Source organism: Homo sapiens, chromosome 2 (assembly GCF_000001405.40).
Source record: "Homo sapiens chromosome 2, GRCh38.p14 Primary Assembly".
Lineage (NCBI taxonomy): Eukaryota > Metazoa > Chordata > Mammalia > Primates > Hominidae > Homo > Homo sapiens.
This window is the reverse complement of record NC_000002.12, coordinates 9,859,900-9,886,227: the sequence shown is the minus strand read 5'-3', so window position 1 is coordinate 9,886,227 and position 26,328 is coordinate 9,859,900. Positions and strand designations below refer to the sequence as shown.

General features: G+C 40.7%; 1 protein-coding gene across 5 annotated transcripts in view; it reads right to left on the bottom strand.

Moving 5' to 3' along the window:
• Positions 1-26,328, bottom strand: part of TAF1B (TATA-box binding protein associated factor, RNA polymerase I subunit B) — a 90,975-nt gene that overhangs the window by 48,189 nt on the left and 16,458 nt on the right. For 3 of the 5 annotated variants that reach the window (NM_005680.3, XM_011510410.3, XM_047446254.1), the window contains exons 6-8: positions 17,799-17,952; positions 10,210-10,363; positions 3,423-3,522 (exon numbers count right to left, since the gene is read on the bottom strand). In NM_005680.3, the coding sequence (NP_005671.3) occupies positions 3,423-3,522; positions 10,210-10,363; positions 17,799-17,952 (408 nt within the window). 5 annotated transcript variants of the gene reach the window in all.

The window sequence follows — 26,328 nt, the reverse complement described above, 5'->3', positions numbered from 1 at the left end:
GTATGTCTTTTTTTTTTTGATCCAAACAGCTTGATTACCCTCTTAATCCCTATCTTGCGGGAAAAGTTTTTCCAGTCTGGAAGGGAGCCTATTGCCATTTGAATACGTCAATATGTCTGCATTTTGAATATACTACCTCAAATAATCCTCATGAAAAATCCTAATGAAGAATAGGTTTACTTATTCCCAAGTCATATTTCTTCTTAGGTTTGTTTCCTTATTGGAAAAATAAGAAAAGTGGACTAAATGATTTCCAAATTTCCCTCCAGCTTTAATAATCCATGATTCTACATAAAATATTCTGATGTCTGTTCCTGAGGAGCTTATAATTTGGTTAGTGAATTAAAGATAACATGATGATTTCAGGCACTAGGAAAATATACAAATAACCTTAACTAAGCAAAAATTATCAATATAACTTGAGTAGTGAATAGCTCTGAGAATTGCTGGAGATTAAGGGAGAGAAGGACAAAGTGGGGGGGGGCGTGGGGAGAAAGAAGGGAGACATACAGAAGAAAGACATTGTTATTAACCAAGACAAAGCTGATAGCTAATGCAAAAGTAGTAACTTAGTTCCACTAGTCGCTCTAGGAAAACTGAATAACTGTGAAGACATAAAGATTCACACCTAGAATGAGGGAACCAAACGTCCAAGCTTGCTTTCTGCTCTCCAAATCTATTGGAATTGCTCCCACTCAAGTTGTTCTAAGGGTGAAACCAGTTTTGCTGTAAAAATCTAATGCTTCTACAAATCACTCATAATGACTCACATTCAAAATAAACCATGAATTAACTACATTTATGCAATATCCTTTACAGTTTTTCATGTGGAGGATCAATTATTCTTTCTGTACCAGTGTCACCTTCTATTTGTGTCATGTATAGTTTACAAAGTTCTTTGACATCTGTGATCTCATGTGATCCCTGCTAAACCTCTGCATGATAAACAGTTCAGCTGATATCCCAATTTTACATATAAAGCAGACACCTCAGACAGACAGAATGCCTCGCCAAGGTCACACAGATGGTAATCTGACTTAGAACTACAGTATTTAGGCTTTTTACTCACTGTATCATCTTTTAGCCTGTTTGCCTACTTTTCTGCCCTTCTCACTATCCTAGTTCTCCAAAACACTTAAATAGGTTCTACGAAGATATACTAAGAATTTGTTACACTATACTTCTACAAAGTACTAATTTTGGAGCGCTGAGCCAGAAGGAAATGGACAACTAGAAATACAGTTGAATATGCATGGAACATACCATAACATTTTATCTCAGATTATTAAATATTGGCAGAATTTGCACTGAGTTAGAATGTGGGTCACTATGAATGATTTAGAGTGGGAAGCTCCTCTCTGAGGGCAGGTTGTCCTGAGAGCACAAGGATGCCCACGTCCACAGCTGTGGCTTGGGTGGCTGCAGCAGCACCCAGGGAGCTCCCACCCCAACTCAGAAGGGATGACCAGCTTTAGAGAGAAGCAACCCACTCCAGGGCCCCCTCTCTGCTGAGAGCTGGGAAGACAATGGGATGCAGAGAGGAATAACCTACTCCAGGGCCTCCTCTCTGCTGAGAGAGCTGCAAAGACAATAGGACGACCTGCCTGCAGACAGGAGCTTCCCATTCCAGAGTCTCCTTTCTGCTAGGAGCTGAACGCTCATCAGGATACCCTGGCTGCAGAAAGGAGCTGCCCGCTGTGGGAGACTGAGCTGTTCTGTCGCTCAATAAAGCTCCTCTTCATCTCGCTCACCCTCCACTTATCTGTGTACCTCATTCTTCCTGGTTGCAGGACACGAACTCAGGACGCACAGAATGGCAAGGCTAAAACAGTTGTAACACAAACAGGTCTGAAACATGCCCCTTGCTCGCCATGTTGTGGGCAAAGAGAAGGAAAGAAGAGCTGCGGTCCTTTGGGGAGTCCAGACCTGGGAGCTCCTCGAGCCAGGGCTGTGACTCCCTCTTTGAGGCCCTGTGGTTCCTGGCATCTCCAAGCTCCCAGGTACCACCGTGTTCCCCAATGCCAGCTGCGGAAACTGCTTGCAGCGCGACTGGTCCGGTCGCAGCCTCGCGGATCGCTGGCAATCATGCTGGCACCTGGAACTGCCTGCCCCGCTGCAGCAGGTGGCATATCTGACTGGCCAGACCCCATGCTTGCTCACACATCCATCACCATTCCATGCCTGACTTGCCCTTGGCAGGCATGAGACCCAGGCCGGTAGCGTGAGCCAAGCACAGCCTGCCAGGCGGAGTGGGCGAAATGAGCCTAGTGCAAAACTTGGGCAAAGATGCCACCGGCCACAAAGGTTTTCCAGCCAGAAAAACGGCACCCCAAAGATCCCGCAACAATATGACATCCTTCCTATTGCCTTTGATATTATAGCATAACTACAAAGAGAATTATTTTACAAAATATTCAGGGGCTCTATCAGCTTTGCCAGGGAGTACTCTTAATCCTTTGACATTCAAATTTTCCCTTTGGAAGCACCTATTGTGCCATCCTCATTATTGGTTTTCTCTTCTTCAACTTTAAATTCTCTGCCAGCTCTGTGTTTGTCAATGGATTTGCAAGCAGTTCTCCTACATTAATTTCAAAGATAACATGAAATGCTGAAACTTCCATAAAATTTGCAAATTCACTTTATGTCTGCATTTATTAACACTGACAGGCTGGAAAGGGATAAACCTCAACATTAAGTTGAACATCAAAGGGTATCTGAATAGAGGTTACCCTTCATCAAAGTCAGGCCACTATTAAACAGCACTTAACAAATGACTCTTACACCGCCAACAATGTCAGGGTCATGAAGTTCTATGAAAATGATTCCTTAAGTAGGTGAATGGAGGAAAATCTTTAACATTTAGTACATCAAAAAAAACTTCTGATGAGAACCAAGGGGAAATAACCTTTGAGTACCACCAATAGTGACACAAACTCATAATCAAAGGACAGAAACCCTTCCATTGGAGACATCTGAAAACAGATCTAGAAAAAGACAAACTAACATAAGTGAAGAACTTAAAATAGTACCTTTAGAAACACGGTAATAACTTTCTTCTCTTTCTTCCATAGCAATATAGTGTGCAAATAACAACAACAAAACACATATTTTATTTTTAAAAAATTGAAATTACCTAAAGGTCTCTAGATAAAAGTTCTCAAGTTTAGTCTCAACAACATACCTATCTGCAATGCACACACATCACACTACAGCTATATTTTGAGGATAACCTAAAGGATTAGAGGAATCCACATAAGGAAAATAAAAAATAATAAAATTCTACTCTTCGTTAAATTATGACTGATGTTCCATATTGGGATAAAACACAAAACACCAAATAATAAGTCAAGCAAGAAATAGAAATTATCATACCACTCTTGTGCCTTATCAGAGACTAGAAAGTAAAAAAGAAAATAACTTACCTCTATACCAAAGATTCCTCTGTCACGTCCATATAATTTCATCTGTTCTGGAAAATGCTGAAAAGCATTTATGTAAGGAATATGGTCCTCTTCAACAAACCTGTATTTTTAAAAAGAAAAAGGTTTAATGAGAGTTATATACTGATATAGCAGAGTAAATGCTTTAAGAAAAATCTCTTAATTCAAAGACAAGGTAAGAATTAGTTAAGCATATTCTATTTCCCACGATTTTAAGGATAATAAATCTAATCATATCTATTATTCTCTTTACCCATATGTTGGCCTATTTAGCCAATTACTGAATGATTCTCTTAAGTTCCTGTCTAAATAAATATGTCTAAGAAGGACTGCACACAGTGGCACATGCTTGTACCCCTAGCTATTTGGGAGGCAGCAGCAGTAAGACTGCTTGAGCCCTGGAGTTTCAGAACTGTAATCCCAGCACTTTGGGAGGCCAAGGCAAGCGGATCACGAGGTCAGGAGTCCGAGACCAGCCTGGCCAATATGGTGAAACCCCGTCTCTATTAAAAATACAAAAATTAGCTAGGCATGGTGGCTTGGCCTGTAGTCCCAGTTACTCGGGAGGCTAAGGCAGAAGAATCGCTTGAACCTGGGAGGCGGAGGTTGCAGTGAGCTAACGCCACTGCACTCCAGCCTGGGCAACAGAGCAAGACTCAGTCTCAAAAAAAAAAAAAAGTGTTCAAGAAGTGTGTATCCTACTTGTTAGTTCACCACTAGGCTTTCCAACATGGCATTCCCTGTATCCCTAGCTCCCCTCGCATGATAGGCTCCTACTCATAAATCACTCCTTCAAGGAGGTCTACCTTGATCCCCATTTTCTGTGACAGCCTACCTCCCTTGTCTACCCTTCTGTCTCCAATACCTATAATGGTACATGTTAGATGTTTGTTGCTGAAAGAACCATTAAGGAGTGGGACCTTGCCTGTTTGCTCACCACTCCACCCCAATGCCTGGTACACAGTGGATCAAATATTTTGAGTCAATTATTGAGTTTGAAGAAAATAACACATACACATAAATAGACAAATATATTTATTTAGGATTCATTAATTTAACAACAATGTATTGAATACTATATACCTAGTCCTATTCTAGACTGCAGGGAAACAGCAGTGAACAAAACAGAAGAACATTCTTGTTCCTATGGAGTTTACATTCTAGTGAGAAAAGAAAGATACAAAACAGATGAGTAAAATCTATAGTATGTTAGGTAGAGTGAAATGTTAAGGAGAAAAATAAAGGAGAACTGAGAATGAGAAATGGGGGTCTTGCAACCATGTCAAATATATACTTATACCTATATATATTTAAAATAAGAAAATTAAGGAAAGTGAGCTAAAGACAGGAATAAGTACACAAAATGCATTGCCTTGAAGAGCTGGGCTGACATTTGGCTTTCAGCTTTGTAACACTTAAAGGACAAAACTGATTCAACACTTTTTTTTTTTTAAGACAGAGTCTCACTGTCGCCCAGCCTGGAGTGCAGTGGCATGATCTCAGCTCACTGCAGCCTCCACCTCCCAGGTTCAAGTGATTTTCCTGCCTCATCCTCCCAAGTAGCTGGAATTACTTACAGGCACCCACCACCATGCCTGGCTAATTTTTGTATTTTTAGTAGAGACAGGTTTTCACCATGTTGGCCAGGCTGTTCTTAAACTCCTGACCTCAAGTGATCTGCCTGCCTTAGCCTCCCACAGTGCTGGAATTACAGAAGTGAGCCACCAGGCCCAGCCTCAAATTTAATTTCAATTAAAAATGTGTTTTAATTTTTACTCTACTGAAAGTTGAGAAATATTTACATAAAAATGGTGTTAAAGGTTCCCCAGCTAAGTTTTTATTAGTATATTTCGTTTATATGATAGTATTTATGTGCAGTAATCAGTATTTGTATTATTGTGAAATTATATTTTTGGTTTAATATTATTTTATATACAAGATGTAATGTATACCTGTCACTTTTTAAGCTGCCTAGTATTCCACTATGTTAATGTGCTCATTATTTATGTAGTCTTCACTCCTATGTGATAATACATGCCAGCACTATGTGGAGTGTTAGGAGTCTGCAGAGATAAGTAAGAGATGAAGGGTCTTCCACACTCCCACCCTAATAGGTCAGACAAACAGCCTGCACATGAGTCAGTAGAGACACTGTCTCAAGCAGCACAACAGAGGCACAGTCAGTTCTGTAGGAGCAGAGGAAGAAATGAGAGACCTGACTAGGGGAAGCAGAAATGTCCGCAAAGAGCAGGTCTTCGGCATCTGGAGTTCTAACAGTTTTTCACCATTTATAAATAGTTCTTTGAATCTCCTTTTAGAAAAGTATTTGTTTTTCCAAAAAAAAAAAAAAAAAAAAAAAAAGCTGCTTACTCAAAGTTCTGAACAATCTATTTCCCTTCCTAGGTATTATCAGCTAGTTCTCTAGATCAATCCAGGAAGTTGACAGAAAAACTGGTGTAGACTAAAAGCATCTCATATGCCTCTCCTGACCAACAGAGTTTAGCCATGTCCCCTGGAAACACTGTCTCTACTTATAATTATGTAATTTTCCAAAGTTTCAATCTATGATGGGTTAGAAATTTAGTAAACTCATCCTTTGTCTCAGATCACTGAAAAAAACCACTGCATTAGAATTAAGTCGTGTCTACCTGTAAAAACAGATCCTGAACCCAGTCACCATTACCACTGCCATAATCCAAGCCACCATCTCTTGCCTGGAGGATAGCAAAAGACCACCTGGTCTCCGTGCTTCCACCCTTCCCAGAACTCATTTTCCACAGCTGCCTGAATGATCTTTTAAAAACATCAATCAGATCGTATCTCTCCTGCTGCAATCTTCCAGGGGCTTACTCTCACACTGGAAACCCGCAGTTCCCCTGGGTATGAGGTTTCCTTCCAGAGTGATATGTCCTGAAAATAGAGACTGCACAGCTTTGCAAACTTTGAAAACATATTGAAAACCACTGAATTGTATATTTTTAAAGGGTGCATTTTATTATATATAAATTATACCTCAATTTTTAAAAATCCAAATTCCTAACTTGGTTTACAAAGACAGATATCTGCCTCTGATGATCTGTTCACTCTCATCCTCCTACTCCGCCCTAGAATTCTCTGACTCCAGTCACACGAACTCTCCTCTGCTCCTTCATCACACAGCTCTTGCTTTAGGGCTTGGCACTAGCAACCTCCTTCTACCCGGAATGCCAGTACAGCAGTCCCCACTCATCCTCTTTTTTGTGTTGCATGGTTTCAGCTACCTGTGGTCTGAAAATATACAATGGACAATTCCAGAAATAAACAAGTCATAAGTGTTAAATTGTATGCCATTCTAAAGAACATGATGAAATATCATGCCATCTCTCTCTGACCCACCTGAGATGCGGGTCCTCTCTTTGTCCAGCACAGCCAAGCTGTAGCGCCACCCAGCCATGAGTTACTTGTAGTTCATTGGCTCATTCTCAGATCTACTGTCAGAGTGTTGCAGTGCTTGCATTCAAGTACCCCTTATATTTTACTTAATAACAGCCTCAAAGCTCAAGAGTAGTAGTACCAGTACACTGTAATAATTATTCTATTTTATTATTAGGTATTGTTGTTAATCTCTTACTATGCCTAACTTATAAATTAAACTTTATCATAGGAATGTACACATAGGAAAAAACATAGTGTATATAGGGTTCCGTGCTATCTACATTCTCAGGCATCCAATGTCTTGGAACATATCTTCTGTGGTAAGTGAGGTCTATTGTACTCCTGATATTCACACTGGCTCTATTTTCATTTAAGGTGCAGAGTAAATGCCACCCTCTTGGTGAGGCCTTCCCGAATAACCAATCTAGAGTAGCCATCTAGTCATTTTCTATCATACCATCCTATTTCAATCTTCTGAATAGCCTTTCCCTGTCTGATCCTTTTCTTATTTATCAGGTTAGTGCAAAAGTAATTGTGGTTTTTGCCATTAACTGCAATGACCTTTGCACCAACCATATGTATGTGTTTGTTTTTTCCTCCTCTGGTCTTGAAATTTGTGAGAGCAAGGACTTGACCTATATGATTCACAACTGCATCGCAAGGGTCTAGATGCCAGAACAACACCTGCATATAGTAGATATTCAATACAAATTTACAGAATGAATAAGGGCTGGCTATTTTTATTCATTAATGCCATTATTGCTAGGTAGGCAGGGTCCCTTACAGGCTATTTGCAGGGTAATGAATTTATCCTAAGGACTATGGATGCTGCTAGAGGACTTAAAAAGGGAGTGACATGCACAGTGTTAAGGTATGTGGGTACTTTGGCCAGGCTAATAACATACTCCCTTAAAACTGTGTTCTTTACATATTTTTTCAAAGTTTGGCAGTGGTTCTCAAACTTTGCCATCCATAAGAATCCTCTGGGCCAGGCATGGTGGCTCATGACATAATCCCAACATTTTGGGAGGCCAAGGCAGGAGGCCAAGGTAGGAGGCTTGCTTGAGGCCAGAAGTTTGAGACCAACTTGGGCAACATCACAAGACCCCAGCTCTACGAAAAAATAAAAATAAACAATTAAAAAAAAAAAAAAAGAAGAAGAATCCCCTGAAGGGCTTATTTTAAAGCAGAGATTATCAGGTCCTACCCCAGGGTTTCTGATTCAGAAGGTGTAGGATAGGTCTAAGAATTCACATTTCGAACCAGTTCCCAAGTGATACTGAAGCTGTAAGTCAGGAGGCCACATTTTGAGAACTTATGACTTAGAGCTCTTTCTGGGAGAAAAGCAAAGGAAGAATATCAATGGTGACAGTCTCTTCTCCTATAGCCCCAAGCAACTAAGCTCTGTTCCCAAACTTGTGTATTCCACAGAGCAAAACAAAAGCCCCCTAGCTAACTAGATTTAATCTCCTTGAAGGCATTTTAGAATTCCCCTTGGTGGGGGAGGAGAGGGAAAGAGAGAGAGAGGAGAAAAGAGGGAGGGAGAGAAGAGGGGTGGGTAGTATCTTACCCCTATTATTCCAACCACATATAATATTCTCCCTGAGAAGAATTCCAGGTAAATACGACTTTCTCCACCTTGTTAGATTTCTAGGAGAGTTCTGTTAGCCCCTTATAGATCGTCCTGGGTAGGATGGCTAGCCCCTTTATCCAGCTCTAATGACATGATTAGGTTTATGTTTTTGTAAGATCCTTCTGGTTATCAGGAGGAAAATGGATAGAAATGACACAAGATTACAGACACAGAGCTCATCTGGGAGACTGTTAAGCAATCCAAATGAGGGTAGAGAGGACAGAGAGAGAGAGGGAATGCAGAGAAGAATGGTTCTGTGAGTTTTTGGACATATAACTGAGTGGACAATTGACCAACAGTGTACGTAGAGGGGAAAGAGTCAAGGATGATTCCTAGGCTTCTGGATAGGATGCAACAGGGTGGATGGCATTTACTAAGAAAGAGAACACTGGAAAAGGAGCTGGATCAAGGAGACAGATGATGAACCTCTAGTCATGCTGATTCTGAGATACCATAAAGACATCTAAGTAGCTGTGTCCAGCAGACAGCTGTATATATGAATCTATGGGTCTGGCCCTCAGTAGACAAGTCTGGGCTAGAGATATAAATTTGAGAGTCATCAGTATAGTGGTAATTAAAGCGTTGGGAAAAGATGAGATCACCCAATGGGGGCATACAAAACAAGATCAGGTTTTTAAATTAATAGTAAAATTCACTGAATCATGGGCTATCTGCTTGTAGAGTTAATCAGACCTGAGGAAAGCGTTTTTATTTGGTTGATGTGGCCAAATTCAAAGGCACTATCATCATTTACTGGAGGCATTACATTTAATCAAAGGGGCTGAGCCAATAATGACGATGATGGTGGTGATGATGAAAACAAAAACAGTAATGACTAGCACTGAGGTCTTATTATGTGCCAGACACTGCTCTACGTGCTTTCCATGTAGCGCTAATTATTGAAAGTAGTTACAACCCTATGAGGTAGTTATTATTAGCCCCATTTTACCAACGAAGAAACAAAAGCAGAGACAAATTAAATGACTTACTCAAGGTCATATAATAAATAAGTGGCAAAGCCAGGATTCAAACCCAGCAGTTTGGTTCCTAATTTGTGCTGTTAAAAGCACCCTACATATTGATTAAACCCAAATGTTACTATTCAGAACACATATAAAGCAAGGAGAAAAAAATCAGCACATAAGAATTTTGGCACGTCTATTAAGTGAGAAATTCTTACACATAAAACTGTAATTTATTCATTAACCAAAACACTCTGTAGATTATCCTGAAAAATATAAACGCTTACTATCTGGATAACACATCCTTTCAACAGTTTTGTCTTCAACTTTTCCTTACAAACATAGACAACCTATATTTTAGCTCTTAACACCAATATATGCTTTTGTGTAACTACAAATAACCATTTTGCTAATGTAAAGATCACCTGTTTATCTTTTCTTAGAAATGAAAAATATTTACTAATATTACTCAGGTACTTAAATGTCACTTTTCTCTTCAAAAGATTATATTAGATAATTAATTTTCCAATAGCCCATGTGTGGTAAGTACTATAATTTCTACTACATAAATAAGAAAATCAAGAAGATGAATTACTAGCCCAGGGGGGATTACATTTCAGAATTAGAATTCAGGCTACTCAACCTTTCCAGTTCCTTCCTCAAGTTAAGCCTTCTTATAAAAATCAAAATATCCGAAGTTTGTCTACTTAGTTCATGTAGTAACCAGCAAAAATATTATCATACAAGAGGTCTAGCTAACCTCAAAAGATCTGAAAGTGTTATTGCTTCTCTCTGCCAAAGTAAGGACAGATAACAGAAGGCAAGTGTCTGTGGCATGGTCATCTTCACGATTCCCTTCTCCTTTCGTTGTGAGTATTCAACTCCATCCAGAGATCCAGAGCAGACAGACGTTTCTTAGGAGATAAATGGAGATTTTTAAAAATCCAGTGAACTATTTGGATAACAAAAGAAAAACAGCAAAAAATCTAAACAGGCATTTTAAATATTGACATGGTTTGGCTGTGTCCTCACCCAAATCTCATCTTGAACTGTAGTTCTCATAATTCCCACGTGTCATGGGAGGGACCTGGGGAAAGTAATTGAATCATGGGGGCGGGTTTTTTCCATGCTGTTCTCATGAGAGTGAATACATCTCACGAGATCTGATAGTTTTATAAAGGGTAGTTCCCCTGCACACGCTCATCTTGCCTGCTGCCATGTAAGACGTGCCTTTGCTTCTCCTTCACCTTCTACCGTGATTGTGAGGCACTCCCAGCCATGTGGAACTGTGAGTCCATTAAACCTCTTTTTCTGTATAAATGACCCAGTCTTGGGTATTTCTTCATAGCAGTAAGAAAATGGACTAATACAATTATCTTAAAACTAGTTATAAAACCTTTACAAAGAGCAATTTGGCAATAAAGAGTAATAAAGGACTAGAATAAAATCAGCCAAAAACGTAATCATGGGATATCTGTAGGAGTGGGATGGGACAGGATTCTAAAGACGGATTTGAGCCAGGCACAGTGGCTCACGCCTGTAATCCTAGCACTTTGGGAGGCCAAGGAGGGTGGATCACTTGAGGTCAGGAGTTCGAAACCAGCCTGGTCAACATGGTGAAATCTTGTCTTTACTAAAAAATACAAAAAATTAGCCGGGTGTAGTGGTGGACGCCTGTAATCCCAGCTACTTGGGAGGCTGAGACAGGATAATTGCTTGAACCTGGGAGGTTGCAGTGAGCCGAGATCGTGCCATTGCACTCCATCCAACCTGGGTAACAGAGCAAGACTCTGTCTCCAAAAAGAAAAAAAAAAAAAGAATTTGAACGTTTGAATTTTTTAATAGTGAACATAAACCAATTTTTTAAATAAAGGAAAGGATACACAATTACAATGCACAACAAAAGATGTGTAACTGCTTTGACTCTGACCTCAACTCCCATGTCCCCTTCTCTACAAGGCCTCTCCAAAACTCCAAAACTTAGCTAGAGCAGCACCTTCTTCTATCCCCATCTTTCAGGTATCCTCTACCATATGACATTATGGTATCTTCATTCATTCACCAGATGCTTATTCATCTCATTCTTTGTGCCACTCTTCTATGTCTCAGGAAATGACAAGTGAATAATGTCTCATCTCTCTTAGAACTTATATTCTAGTAATGGGAGACAGACCAATAAACAAACAAACAAGAAATACAATTGGCAGAGCCAGGTGCCATGGTGTGCACCTGTAATCCCAGCTACTAGGGAGGATGAGACAGGAGGATCACTTGAGCCCAAGAATGCGAGACTAGCCTGGGCAACACGGAGAGACTTTCTCTAAAAAAAAAAAAATTACATTTGACAGATAGTGATGCTACATAGAAAAATAGCAATGTAGAGTCATAGTAAGTGATGGGAAGGGAAGAGAGATGCGCTACTTTATATGGGTGTCAGAGAAACCTCATTGAGAAGGTGATATTTGAGCAGAGACCTGAATTAATTCAGAAAGTAAGTCTTAAGGATGTTGGGAAGAATACCAAGTATATTAGCAGGAGTGAACTGCAGGAACAGCAAAAAGGCCAGTGTAGTGAGAGCATCATGGGATGCAACATAATATAGTTTCTACGTAAATCTACCAAGATTGTGAGGCCTCCCCAGCCATGTGGAACGATGAGTCCATTCAACCTCTTTCTCTTTATAAGAACAGAAATTTCTGAGGGAAAGTGGTGGGAATGATACTGAAGAGAGATTAAGAACTACATTATGTAGAATTTTGTAGGTCATTATTTGTACTTTGGATTTTATTCTAAGAAGTTTCTGGAGAGTTTTAAAACATGGAAGCAACAGGACCTCATTTATGTATTTAAAAAGGTCACTCCAGCTGCTGAGGGAAGAATGGAGTTACGGGAGGGCAGGAGTAGAAACAGAAGACCACTCTTCCAGGAAAGCCATGACTGGTACTTGGACTGGAGCGGTAGCATTGCAGCTGGTGAGAAATGGTTGCATTCTAGATAGATTTTAAAGGCAGAGTCAAAGGATTTGCTGATAGATTGGATGTAAAGCATGAGAGAAAAGAAAACAAGTATGATTATAAGGTTGTTGGCCTGAGCAACAAGTAGAATGCATTGCCATTTACCAAGACAAGGAAGATGGCCAAAAAAAAAAAAAAAAAAAATCCAGTTTGATGAGCGAAATCAATGTTAGAATTATGTGTGTTAAGTGTGAATCTTATTAAATACACCAACAGAAATGTTGAGTCAGCAGCTGAATATAAGAATCTATACTTTGAAGGAGAGGTGGGACTAGAGATAGGAATTTTAGTTTCAGCATATAGTTGGTGGTTGGTTAAAGCTATGGTATTAGGTGAAGTCACATAAGGAGTAAGGGTAGAAAAGCAGCAGGACTAGGAATGACCCTGAGAAGCTACACTTTCTTAAACACAAAGTCTCAAAATAACTCCTCAAAATCCCTTTCTCCAAATTCTGTAAGTCCTTTCTTCATAGCACTTATCAGTGACTAAAATGTTCTTTATTTGGTCGTTTATTGCCTATCTCCTCCTACTACAATATAAACACCCTGAAGGCGGACAGTCTTGCCACCATTATGTCCCAGTGCCCAGAACAGTCTCTAGCACAGAGTAGAAACCTGATGTGCAAATAGGCCCAACAGTTCTACTTTGAAGATTTCATCCCAGTGAAATGATTTGAAAGCCATGCAAAGGTTTCGGGTCAAGGAATGCTGTGGCAGCACTGTTTATAATATAAAAATTTAGAACAACCTAAATGCCAGGAATAGAAGTTTAATTAAGTAATTCCATGCAATGGTATACTACAAAACAATGTCCATAGAACTTTAAGATCAGTGGTTCTCAAAGTATACTCCTGGACCAGCAGTATTAGTATCACCTGAGAACGTAATGGAACTGCAAATTACTAAGGTTTAACAAGCTCTTCAGGTGATTCTGATGGATGCTAAAGTTTAAGGACCATCGGTTTTAAATGAATATATAAAGTCACAGATTTCCATAAAATAAATGTGTGTTGTGTACACACACACAATTTTTTGTATATTCCTTATAATATGTAAGGACTTCCAGTTAAGGTGGCAAATTGAAAACACGTTAGCCTCTGCTCTCTCCTGCTACAACAATTATAAAGAGAATTTTTTAAACATGTAAACCTGAGGACAAATAACATGAAAAAGGTGACAAGAACAATAAAATTTTAGAAGTCAGAAAGCATACAGATAGGTGATTATTGGCTTAGCAGTCCTGGGAAAGCTAGATTCAAAGTCAGCAGTGGGGAATATGCCAAAAAGCAGTTTTCACTGGGGATCCCTAAAGAAGGCTCAGGAATTGGAGAAACTCATACCCCTAGAAACTGGATGAAGGCAGGCCTAACACCAGGATGACTGCTTAAAATCCAGATTAAGAAGCAGTTAGACATCCAGATTCTTTTTTTTTTTTTTTTTAAGATGGAATCTCGCTCTGTTGCCCAGACTGGAGTGCAGTGGTGTGATCTCAGCTCACCACAACCTCCAACTCCCGGGTTCAAGCCACTCTCCTGCCTCAGCCTCCTGAGTAGCTGGGACTACAGGCGTGCGCCACCACACCCATCTAATTTTTTGTATTTTAGTAGAGACGGAGTTTCACTACGTTGGCCAGGATGGTCTCAATCTCCTGCCCTCGTGATCCGCCTGCGTCGGCCTCCCAAAGTGCTGGGATTACAGGCGTGAGCCACCACACCCAGCCAGACATCCAGATTCTTATCCCAAATCCATGCAGCCAAGTGATGCCCCTCCCTAGTCTTGGCCAAAAACTGGAAATTTCTTCTCCAGAGAGAAGGGTCTCTAGAATAAGGCATGCCACTCACATGCACTGTTGAGAAGTGAAAACAGGAGGCTTAAGTGAAAGTTTACATACTGAATACTAAAACAATCCCCCATTCCCCTCCGGTCTTCTTCTTCCTACCCAGTTTCCAGAACAGTGACAGCCAAGATTACAAACCCGCCAAACAGAAGACTCAAAGAGATTTCTCTGAGGAATCTGATCAGCTCGGGGGGAAAAGATTTAAAGATGATAATGCTGGGGTTCACTGAGAAAATAACCTTGCAAGCAGAGCAGAGCTGACAAGACTAACCACGGAAACAAAGCCTTTTATCAACTTTTTAGTCTCCCATGTTTAAGTAAGAATAGCTATCTTAGGCTCACTAAACATTTGAAGCCTTTCATGTAAAAAGCAGAGGCCAAAACAATCAAGTCAGGCATGAAATATCGTTAATATTCTCTGTGAAATAAAAGATGCTCCACAAAAATGAGAGGGTAATCCAGGAAAGAAGAAATGGGATGCAGAAAATAAAAAATTCCAACAAAAGAAAAATGACAGAATCTCAGGATGGTGGTAAAGAGAGATCCTGGCCAGGCACAGTAGCTTACGCCTACAATCCCAGCACTTTGGGAGGCCGAGGTGGGCAGATCACAAGGTCAGGAGATCGAGGCCATCCTGGCTAACACGATGAAACCCCGTCTCTACTAAAAATACAAAAAAAAATTAGCTGGGCATGGTGGCGGGCGCCTGTAGTCCCAGCTACTCGGGAAGATGAGACAGGAGAATGGCATGAACCCAGGAGGTGGAGCTTGCAGTGAGCCAAGATCGTGCCACTGCACTCCAGCCTGGGCAACAGAGCAAGACACCATCTCAAAAAAAAAACAACAACAAAAAAGGAGAGATCCTAAAGTCAGCCAGGCCACAGGTCTAGAGATATCATTCTAGATCAGAGCAGATCAGAGGCTCCAGGGAGACTTCTTCCAGAAGATGAAACTGATAGAATGCATAAGATATTAAGAGATTATAAGAACTGGAAGTGTGGAGATACATTAGTAATAAATTATGGATTAGTAATAAACAGAAAACTAAATAAATAACAATTATCAACTCCAAGAAAACCACAGGATATACAGAAAAAGTAATCATAGTAAGCTATACAGCTCAGTCTAAATAATGTGTATACATTTATAATAATTTAAGCAGTAAATACTGATCTAGTAAAAAATTACAGCAATTATATTGAGAAGAGAGAGAATGAGAAATGCACATGCATGTACTGGGGACTATGTGCAGATAAGGGACAGTGAGGAATGTGTGAAAGAGCTAAAACAGAATTGAATAGCTAATGTCCCAAACTAGAAATCAAGATGTAATACTAGAAGCACGTGATACGGAAATATGAAAGTCACAAAAGAGTTGAAAATGAATGCCCCTTGGGAACAGGACATTAGCTGAAGGTAGACTACAAATTTTATTTTTTTTTAAGACAAGGTTTTGCTCCGTCGGCCGGGCTAGAGTGCAGTGGGATGATCACAGCGCACTACAGCCTCGACCTCCTGGCTCAAGCACTCCAGCAACCTCAGTCACCTGAGTAGCTGGGACTGTAGGCATGCACCACCATGCCTAGCTAATTTTTATTTTTTGAGAGATGGAGGTCTCACTATGTTGCCCAGGCTGGTTTTGGACTCCTGGGTTCAACTGATCCTCCCTCCTTGGCCTCCCAAAATGCTGGGATTACAATAGGTGTAGTCCACTGCCGTGACTGGTGGACTACAACTTAAAACAATTTTTTATTTTTACGATTTTTTTATAACAAGACTTATAGAATGATTTGTAGAGTTTTGATTTAAAAATTTATTTATTATTATACTTTAAGTTTTTAAAAATTTAAAGAATGAAGAAATAATTCAAATTTTTACAAAAACAAAATAAATTCTTTCCGTATACATACATGAAGAAAAACTTTCTGGAATGATCTACAATAGCAGTAGCGGTAATTTCTAGTTGGTACAGTAACTGGTGATTTTATTTTCTTCGTGACTATCTGCATTTTATAGTTTTATATTGAGTTTCACTAATAATTACTTCTTTTTTTTTTGAGATGGAGTCTTGCTCTGTCACCTACACTGGAGTGCAGTGGTGTGATCTTGGCTCACTGAAACCTCTGCCTCCCGGTTCAAGCAATTCTGCCTCAGCCTCCCAAGAAGCTGGGACTACAGGTGCATACCACCACGCCTAGCTAATTTTTGTATTTTTAGTAGAGATGGGGTTTCTCCATGTTGGCCAGGCTGGTCTCAAACTCCTGACCTCAAGTGATCTGCTCGCCTCAGCCTCCCATAGTCCTGAGATTACAGGTGTGAGCCACTACGCCCGGCCATTGATTACTTTTAATGTAAAAACTAAAAGAAAGCTCTAGGGATCATCATTTATTAAAAAACAAATAAGCAGGCCGGGCACGGTGGTTCACACCTGTAATCCCAGCACTTTGGGAGGCTGAAGCAGGCAGATCACAAGGTCAGGAGTTTGAGACCAGTCTGACCAACATGGTGAAACCCCATCTCTACTAAAAATACAAAAATTAGCAGGGTGTGGTGGTACATGCTTGTAATCCCAGCTACTCAGGAGGCTGAGGTAGGAGAATCACGTGAACCTGGGAGGCGGAGGTTGCAGTGAGCCGAGATTGCACCACTGCACTCCAGCCTGGGTGACAGAACTAGATTCCATCTCAAAAACAAAACAAAACAAAACAAAAAAAAATAAGCAAACAAAACTGTTACACATAGGTAAACAAAACAATCATGATGCTTTAAAAGGAGCTAATATCTTCTTTCAAAAAGGTTCGATGGTTTTACAGTCATGGTCTTCTGGGAATATTTGAGCTCAGGCTTGTCTGAAAAGGTGGAGAAGAAAACTCCAGAAATTCCTTGTTGCCCAATTAGTCAATGATCCTAACACTTTACACCAAAAGTAACTTATTTGATATCTGTGTCACTGTGCAGTCCAGGAAGAGATGTGGATACACTGATAAAGGAATGAAGGCCTATATTTTAATCTTAAATACATTCCTTATTTATTTCAAGTTATGGAATTATATCAGAAAGTAAAACACACATGTAACAAGGTAAATTTTACTCAGCTTGATTTAGTCTATGCTTAGAAACTGGACATACCATCTTTGTCTATTTTACTATATGGCTACATAATAACATTTTTCTGCTACAACTTTTCTTTGAAGACGCTGAGCCCACACATATAGATCTTTCTGAAGCAGCCTCCTTCTTTCTGGATCCACTTGAACTTTATGTCCCTTTAAAATCACACACAAAAAACTCACATGGAGACAATGTGCCTTTTAAAAAATTGCGCTAAGATTTCACTTAGTTTGTCTTAGCCATATGATTCAGCAAGTCATTCTTCCTTGCTAGATTCTTCCTCGCTAGACCAAGTTCCCTTTCCTTGGATTATCAGAAGATTAGACTAAATTATTTTTAAGGGGCATAACAGCTTTAAAATTCGAAATGGTTTGGTTCTCATTTTTACCTGATTGTGATGCTTTGCTGACGGGGAAAGGTTTTCGAGTGTGGATGTCAGACTGAGACTCCGCTCCACTTTCAAGAAAAGGAGGACAGCTGACATCACTTAGCAGCTCAGGCTCACTAGCCCAGTCTGAATGACTTAGATTATCTTCTAATACCTGTTTGCAAAACAATATAAATAAAATTATTGTGTAACAGTTTTAAACAGTTAATTTCTGTGAACTTAAACAACTCCTATCACAAACACCCTAAAAGAAACCACTCTAGAAAACTGCAACTGCCTGCCAAGTCCCTTTACTTCTGAAACACGCTCCTGACAGCTCCCAGCAGTGCTTCTTGGAGAGGAGTCACAGACAAGGATGGGCGAGGAAACCGGCTGCCAGCCCTGCCATCAGGTCTCCTTCTTCCATGAACATCTCTCTTACAGCGCTAATATCTTCACCACTGAAAACATCGCGCATCAATGACCCCACACATGCTGGCTGGCTTCTTTTTACCAAACCTACCTGGGGAATTTTTGCTTTGTATCTTTGTTAATTCTGGTTCTCCTGCCTGAACTACGCCTTTTCCTCCCTCTCCCTAACTCATTACTTACTCATCATGCCATCTTTCCAACCCACTCTTCAGTGATTTCTCCTTTCCTTGAACTCCTGTAGCATATACGATTTGTAACATGTAATCAACAAGGATATACTATCTCATACTACTGTTTAACTGTTCACACATGTACTGTTGAAACAACAGAGTGTCCCTAAAAAGGTCAGCTGGCTGGCTACCTAAAGACCTCATTAGCTGACATTACCCAGGCAAACCGATCACAGTCAAAAAGCCATGATTTCAACCCTGCAGGCCAAGAAACTTGATCTTATTACAGGAAGATAAGACTAAGACTCCTGGTAAAGAGGCTCACAAGACAATGAAGCAAGAAAACCCAAAAAAACAAAAAAACAAACAAAAACCTCAGAGAATGAAGTAAGATGCTTGTGTCCTCTGTCAAGCATATCCCCTCCCTATAGGGAAGCCCTGTGAGAAGGAGGCTACACCAGAAAGCTGGCTGATGAGCATGAACACAGAGAAAACTTCCACAGGTTCCCACAGGTTACCACTGCCAGCAACTCTACCACATACTCTGCCTCTGCCTGATTCTTCTGGACGATTCAAACTCCTGTTTAAAGCCAGTTTCTCTATTTGTGCACTTGATCCCACCTCTCTGTACACTCAAAGATATCTGTTCAAAGATTCACATCTACTCTTTCTCTCCATTGCAAATTTTTCTTCTCTCCTGCATCATTCCTATCACTACACAAATATGCTATCATTTATCCCACTTTATTTAAAAATTTTTTTATTATACTTTAAGTTTTAGGGTACATGTGCACAACATGCAGGTTTCTTACATATGTATACATGTGCCATGTTGGTGTGCTGCACCCATTAACTCGTCATTTAGCATTAGGTATATCTCCTAATGCTATCCCTCCCCCCTCCACCCACCCCACAACAGTCCCCGGTATGGGATGTTCCCCTTCCTGTGTCCATGTGTTCTCATTGTTCAATTCCCACCTATGAGTGAGAACATGCGATGTTTGGTTTTTTGTCCTTGTGATAGTTTGCTCAGAATGATGGTTTCCAGCTTCACCCATGTCCCTACAAAGGACATGAATTCATCATTTTTTATGGCTGCATAGTATTCCATGGTGTGTATGTGCCACATTTTCTTAATCCAGTCTATCATTGTTGGACATTTGGGTTGGTTCCAAGTCTTTGCTATTGTGAATAGTGCCGCAATAACCATACGTGTGCATGTGTCTTTATAGCAGCATGACTTATAATCCTTTGGGTATATACCCAGTAATGGGATGGCTGGGTCAAATGGTATTTCTAGTTCTAGAACCCTGAAGAATCGCCACACTGACTTCCACAATGGTTGAACTAGTTTACAGTCCCACCAACAGTGTAAAAGTGTTCCTATTTCTCCACATCCTCTCCAGCACCTGTTGTTTCCTGACTTTTTAATGATCGCCATTCTAACTGGCGTGAGATGGTATCTCAATGTGGTTTTGATTTGCATTTCTCTGATGGCCAGTGATGATGAGCATTTTTTCATGTGTTTGTGGGCTGCATAAATGTCTTCTTTTGAGAAATGACTGTTCATACCCTTTGCCCACATTTCATGGGGTTGTTTGTTTTTTTCCTGTAAATTTGTTTGAGTTCATTGTAGATTCTGGATATTAGCCCTTTGTCAGATGAGTAGGTTGCAAAAATTTTCTCCCATTCTGTAGGTTGCCTGTTCACTCTGATGGTAGTTTCTTTTGCTGTGCAGAAGCTCTTTAGTTTAATTAGATCCCATTTGTCAATTTTGGCTTTTGTTGCCATTGCTTTTGGTGTTTTAGACATGAAGTCCTTGCCCATGCCTATGTCCTGAATGGTACTGCCTAGGTTTTCTTCTAGGGTTTTTATGGTTTTAGGTCTAACATGTAAGTCTTTAATCCATCTTGAATTAATTTTTGTATAAGGTGTAAGGAAGGGATCCAGTTTCAGCTTTCTACATATGGCTAGCCAGTTTTCCCAGCACCATTTATTAAATAGGGAATCCTTTCCCCTTTGCTTGTTTTTGTCAGGTTTGTCAAAGATCAGATAGTTGTAGATATGCAGCATTATTTCTGATGGCTCTGTTCTGTTCCATTGGTCTGTATCTCTGTTTTGGTACCAGTACCATGCTGTTTTGGTTACTGTAGCCTTGTAGTATAGTTTGAAGTCAGGTAGCGTGATGCCTCCAGCTTTGTTCTTTTGGCTTAGGATTGACTTGGCAATGAGGGCTCGTTTTTGGTTCCATGTGAACTTTAGTTTTTTCCAATTCTGCGAAGAAAGTCATTGGTAGCTTGATGGGGATAGCATTGAATCTATAAATTACCTTGGGCAGTATGGCCATTTTCACGATATTGATTCTTCCTACCCATGAGCATGGAATGTTCTTCCATTTGTTTGTATCCTCTTTTATTTCATTGAGCAGTGGTTTGTAGTTCTCCTCGAAGAGGTCCTTCGCATGCCTTGTAAGTTGGATTCCTAGGTATTTTATTCTCTTTGAAGCAACTGTGAATGGGAGTTCACTCATGATTTGGCTCTCTGTTTGTCTGTTATTGGTGTATAAGAATGCTTGTGATTTTTGCACATTGATTTTGTATCCTGAGACTTTGCTGAAGTTGCTTATCAGCTTAAGGAGATTTTGGGCTGAGACAATGGGGTTCTCTAGACATATAATCATGTCATCTGCAAACAGGGACAATTTGACTTCCTCTTTTCCTAATTGCATGCCCTTTATTTCCTTCTCCTGCCTGATTGCCCTGGCCAGAACTTCCAACACTATGTTCAATAGGAGTGGTGAGAGAGGGCATCCCTGTCTTGTGCCAGTTTTCAAAGGAAATGCTTCCAGTTTTTGTCCATTCAGTATGATATTGGCTGTGGGCTTGTCATAGATAGCTCTTATTATTTTGAGATGTGTCCCATCAATACCTAATTTATTGAGAGTTTTTAACATGAAGCGTTGTTGAATTTTGTCAAAGGCCTTTTCTGCATCTATTGAGATAATCATGTGGTTTTTGTCTTTGGTTCTGTTTATATGCTGGATTATGTTTATTGATTTTTGTATGTTGAACCAGCCTTGCATCCCAGGGATGAAGCCCACTTGATCATGGTGGATAAGCTTTTTGATGTGCTGCTGGATTCGGTTTGCCAGTATTTTATTGAGGATTTTTGCATCAATGTTCATCAAGGATATTGATCTAAAATTCTCTTTTTTTGTTGTGTCTCTGCCAGGCTTTGGTGTCAGGATGATGCTGGCCTCATAAAATGAGCTAGGGAGGATTCCCTCTTTTTCTACTGATTGGAATAGTTTCAGAAGGAATGGTACCAGCTCCTCCTTATACCTCTGGTAGAATTCGGCTGTGAATCCATCTGGTCCTGGACTTTTTTTGGTTGGTAAGCTATTAATTATTGCCTCAATTTCAGAGCCTCTTATTGGTCTATTCAGAGATTCAACTTCTTCCTGGTTTAGTTTTGGGAAGGTGTATTTGTCGAGGAATTTATTCATTTCTTCTAGATTCTCTAGTTTATTTGCGTAGAGGTGTTTATAGTAGTCTCTGATGGTAGCTGTGGGATCGGTGGTGATATTCCCTTTATCATTTTTTATTGCGTCTATTTGATTCTTCTCTCTTTTCTTCTTTATTAGTCTTGCTAGCGGTCTATCAGTTTTGTTGATCTTTTCAAAAGACCAGCTCCTGGATTCACTGATTTTTCGAAGGGTTTTTTGTGTCTCTATTTCCTACAGTTCTGCTCTGATCTTAGTTATTTCTTGTCTTCTGCTAGCTTTTGAATGTGTTTGCTCTTGTTTCTCTAGTTCTTTTAATTGTGATGTTAGGGTGTCAATTTTAGATCTTTCCTGCTTTCTCTTGTGGGCATTTAGTGCTATAAATTTCCCTCTACACACTGCTTCGAATGTGTCCCAGAGGTTCTGGTATGTTGTGTCTTTGTTCTCGTTGGTTTCAAAGAACATCTTTATTTCTGCCTTCATTTCGTTATGTACCCAGTAGTCATTCGGGAACAGGTTGTTCAGTTTCCATGTAGTTGAGCAGTTTTGAGTGAGTTTCTTAATCTTGAGTTCTAGTTTGATTGCACTGTGGTCTGAAAGACAGTTTGTTATAATTTCTGTTCTTTTACATTTGCTAAGGAGTGCTTTACTTCCAACTATGTGGTCAATTTTGGAATAGGTGTGGTGTGGTGCTGAAAATAATGTATATTCTGTTGATTTAGGATGGAGAGTTCTATAGATGTCTATTAGGTCCACTTGGTGCAGAGCTGAGTTCAATTCCTGGATATCCTTGTTAACTTTCTGTCTCATTGATCTGTCTAATGTTGACAGTGGGGTGTTAAAGTCTCCCATTATTATTGTGTGGGAGTCTAAGTCTCTTTGTGGATAACTAAGGACTTGCTTTATGAATCTGGGTGCTCCTGTATTGGGTGCATATATATTTAGGATAGTTAGCTCTTCTTGTTGCATTGATCCCTTTACCATTATGTAATGGCCACCTTTGTCTCTTTTGATCTTTGTTGGTTTAAAGTCTGTTTTATCAGAGACTAGGATTACAACCCCTGCCTTTTTTTGCTTTCCATTTGCTTGGTAGATCTTCCTCCATCCCTTTACTTTGAGCCTATGTGTGTCTCTGCATGTGAGATGGGTTTCCTGAATACAGCACACTGATGGGTCTTGACTCTTTATCCAATTTGCCAGTCTGTGTCTTTTAATTGGAGCATTTAGCCCATTTACATTTAAGGTTAATATTGTTATGTGTGAATCTGATCCTGTCATTATGATGTTATAGCTGGTTATTTTGCTCGTTAGTTGATGCAGTTTCTTCCTAGCCTTGATGGTCTTTACAATTTGGCATGTTTTTGCAGTGGCTGGTACCGGTTGTTCCTTTCCATGTTTAGTGCTTCCTTCAGGAGCTCTTTTAGGGCAGGCCTGGTGGTGACAAAATCTCTCAGCATTTGCTTGTCTGTAAAGTATTTTATTTCTCCTTCACTTATGAAGCTTAGTTTGGCTGGATATGAAATTATAGGTTGAAAATTCTTTTCTTTAAGAATGTTGAATATTGGCCCCCACTCTCTTCTGGCTTGTAGAGTTTCTGCCGAGAGATCAGCTATTAGTCTGATGGGCTTCCCTTTGTGGGTAACCCGACCTTTCTCTCTGGCTGCCCTTAACATGTTTTCCTTCATTTCAACTTTGGTGAATCTGACAATTATGTGTCTTGGAGTTGCTCTTCTCGAGGAGTATCTTTGTGGCATTCTCTGAATTTTCTGAATTTGAATGTTGGCCTGCCTTGCTAGATTGGGGAAGTTCTCCTGGATAACAACCTGTAGAGTGTTTTCCAACTTGGTTCGATTCTCCCTGTCACTTTCAGGTACACCAATAAGACGTAGATTTGGTCTTTTCACATAGTCCCATATTTCTGGGAGGCTTTGTTCGTTTCTTTTATTCTTTTTTCTCTAAACTTCTCTTCTCGCTTCATTTCATTCATTTCATCTTCCATCATGGATACACTTTCTTCCAGTTGATTGCATCAGCTAGTGAGGACTGTGCATTCCTCACGTAGTTCTTGTGCTGTGGTTTTCAGCTCCATCAGGTCCTTTAAGGACTTCTCTGCATTGGTTATTCTAGTTAGCCAATTGTCTAATTTTTTTTTCAAGGTTTTTAATCTTCTTTGCCATTGGTTTGAACTTCCTCCTTTAGCTCGGAGTAGTTTGATCTTCTGAAGCCTTCTTCTCTCGACTCGTCAATGTCATTCTCCTTCCAGCTTTGTTCTGTTGCTGGTGAAGAGCTGCGTTCCTTTGGAGGAGAGGCGTTCTGATTTTTAGAGTTTACAGTTTTTCTGCTCTGTTTTTTCTCCATCTTTGTGGTTTTATCTACCTTTGGTCTTTGATGATGGTGACGTACAGATGGGTTTTTGGTGTGGATGTCCTTTCTGTTTGTTAGTTTTCCTTCTAACAGTCAGGACCCTCAGCTGCAGGTCTGTTGGAGTTTGCTGGAGGTCCACTCCAGACCCTGTTTGCCTGGGTATCAGCAGCAGTGGCTGCAGAACAGCGGATATTGGTGAACCGCAAATGCTGCTGCCTGATCGTTCCTCTGGAAGTTTTGTCTCAGAGGAGTACCTGGCCGTGTGAGGTGTCAGACTGCCCCTACTGGGGGGTGCCTCCCAGTTAGGCTACTCAGGGATCAGGGACCCACTTGAGGAGGCAGTCTGCCCGTTCTCAGATCTCAAGCTGCATGGTGGGAGAACCACTGCTCTCTTCAAAGCTGTCAGACAGGGACATTTAAGTCTGCAGAGGTTACTGCTGCCTTTTGTTTGTCTGTGCCCTGCTCCCAGAGGTGGAGCCTACAGAGGCAGGCAGGCCTCCTTGAGCTGTGGTGGGTTCCACCCAGTTCGAGCTTCCCAGCAGCTTTGTTTACCTACTCAAGCCTCGGCAATGGCGGGCGCCCCTCCCCAGCCTCGCTGCTGCCTTGCAGTTTGATCTCAGACTGCTGTGCTAGCAATCAGCGAGGCTCCATGGGCATAGCACCCTCCAAGCCAGGTGTGGGATATAATCTCCTGGTGTGCCGTTTGTTAAGCCCGTTCGAAAAGCGCAGTATTAGGGTGGGAGCGACCTGATTTTCCAGGTGCCGTCTGTCACCCCTGTCTTTGACTAGGAAAGGGAATTCCCTGACCCCTTGCAGTTCCCGGGTGAGGCGATGCCTCGCCCTGCTTCGGCTCATGCACGGTGTGCTGCACCCGCTGTCCTGCACCCACTGTCCCGCACTCCCCAGTGAGATGAACCCAGTACTTTAGTTGGAAATGCAGAAATCACCCGTCTTCTGCGCTGCTCATGCTGGGAGCTGTAGACTGGAGCTGTTCCTATTTGGCCATCTTGGCTCCACCCCTCTATCCCACTTTTTAAAAGCTCTCCCTTGACCCCAGCAACCATGCAATTTCTTTGTACTTGTTGCAGCAAAATGCCTTGAAAAAGTCCAAATTTGTTGTCTCCAATTTCTCTCCTCTCAGTCTACCTTATATTCCATTCCAATCAAGGTTTTGATCCCACTGCTCCACTAACCACTTTGCAGCCCTCTTCCTTCTTGACCTAGTGACAGCATTTATCACAGCTGATCACTGCCCTCTTCTTGAAACACTTTGTTCCCTTGGTTTCCAGAGTGCTCATTCTCTCAGCTGTCCTCTTACTTCACATTGTTCCCAAGAATTTTTTTGCCAGTTCCTCTTTTATCCCAAACATCTTAACCGTAGAATGACCTAGGGCTAAGTTATTGGTCCTCTCTCTGTCTTCATACCTTGGTGATGTCATCCGGTCTTACAGTTTTAAATACTAGCTACTATCTTCAAATTTTAAAATGTCCCCTCCCATACCACATTTTAACATCCTAGAAATCAAGATTTATCTTACAATCACTGGCATGTCAAAATTGAATTTGTAGCACTCTTTTCTTTCTTAGCAGTACTTAAAATAATGGCGTATGTTACAAACAATAGCATGTTAGATTTCATGATTATAATATAAACTAACAGCTTCGAAATTTATGTCTCCGGCTCAGACCTCTCTCCTGAACTGCAGACTTTTACATCTAACTGCATGCTTGAAATTTCCTCTTGGATGCTGATATGGTTTGGCTCTGTGTCCCCACCCAAATCTCATCTTGAATTGTAATCCCCATGTCTGGAGGGAGGGACCTAGTGGGAGGTGACTGGATCATGGGGGCAGTTTCCCCCATGCTGTTCTTGTGATAGTGAGGGAGTTCTCATGAGATCTGACTGTTTTAAAAGTGGCATTTCCCCCTGCACACTCTCTCTCTCTTGCTGCCATGGAAGACATGCCTTGCTTCACCTTTGCTTTCCACCATGATTTAAGTTTCCTGAGGCCTTGCAGCCATGCAGAACTCTGAGCCCATTAAACCTCTTTTGTTTATAAATTACCCAGTCTCAGGTAGTATC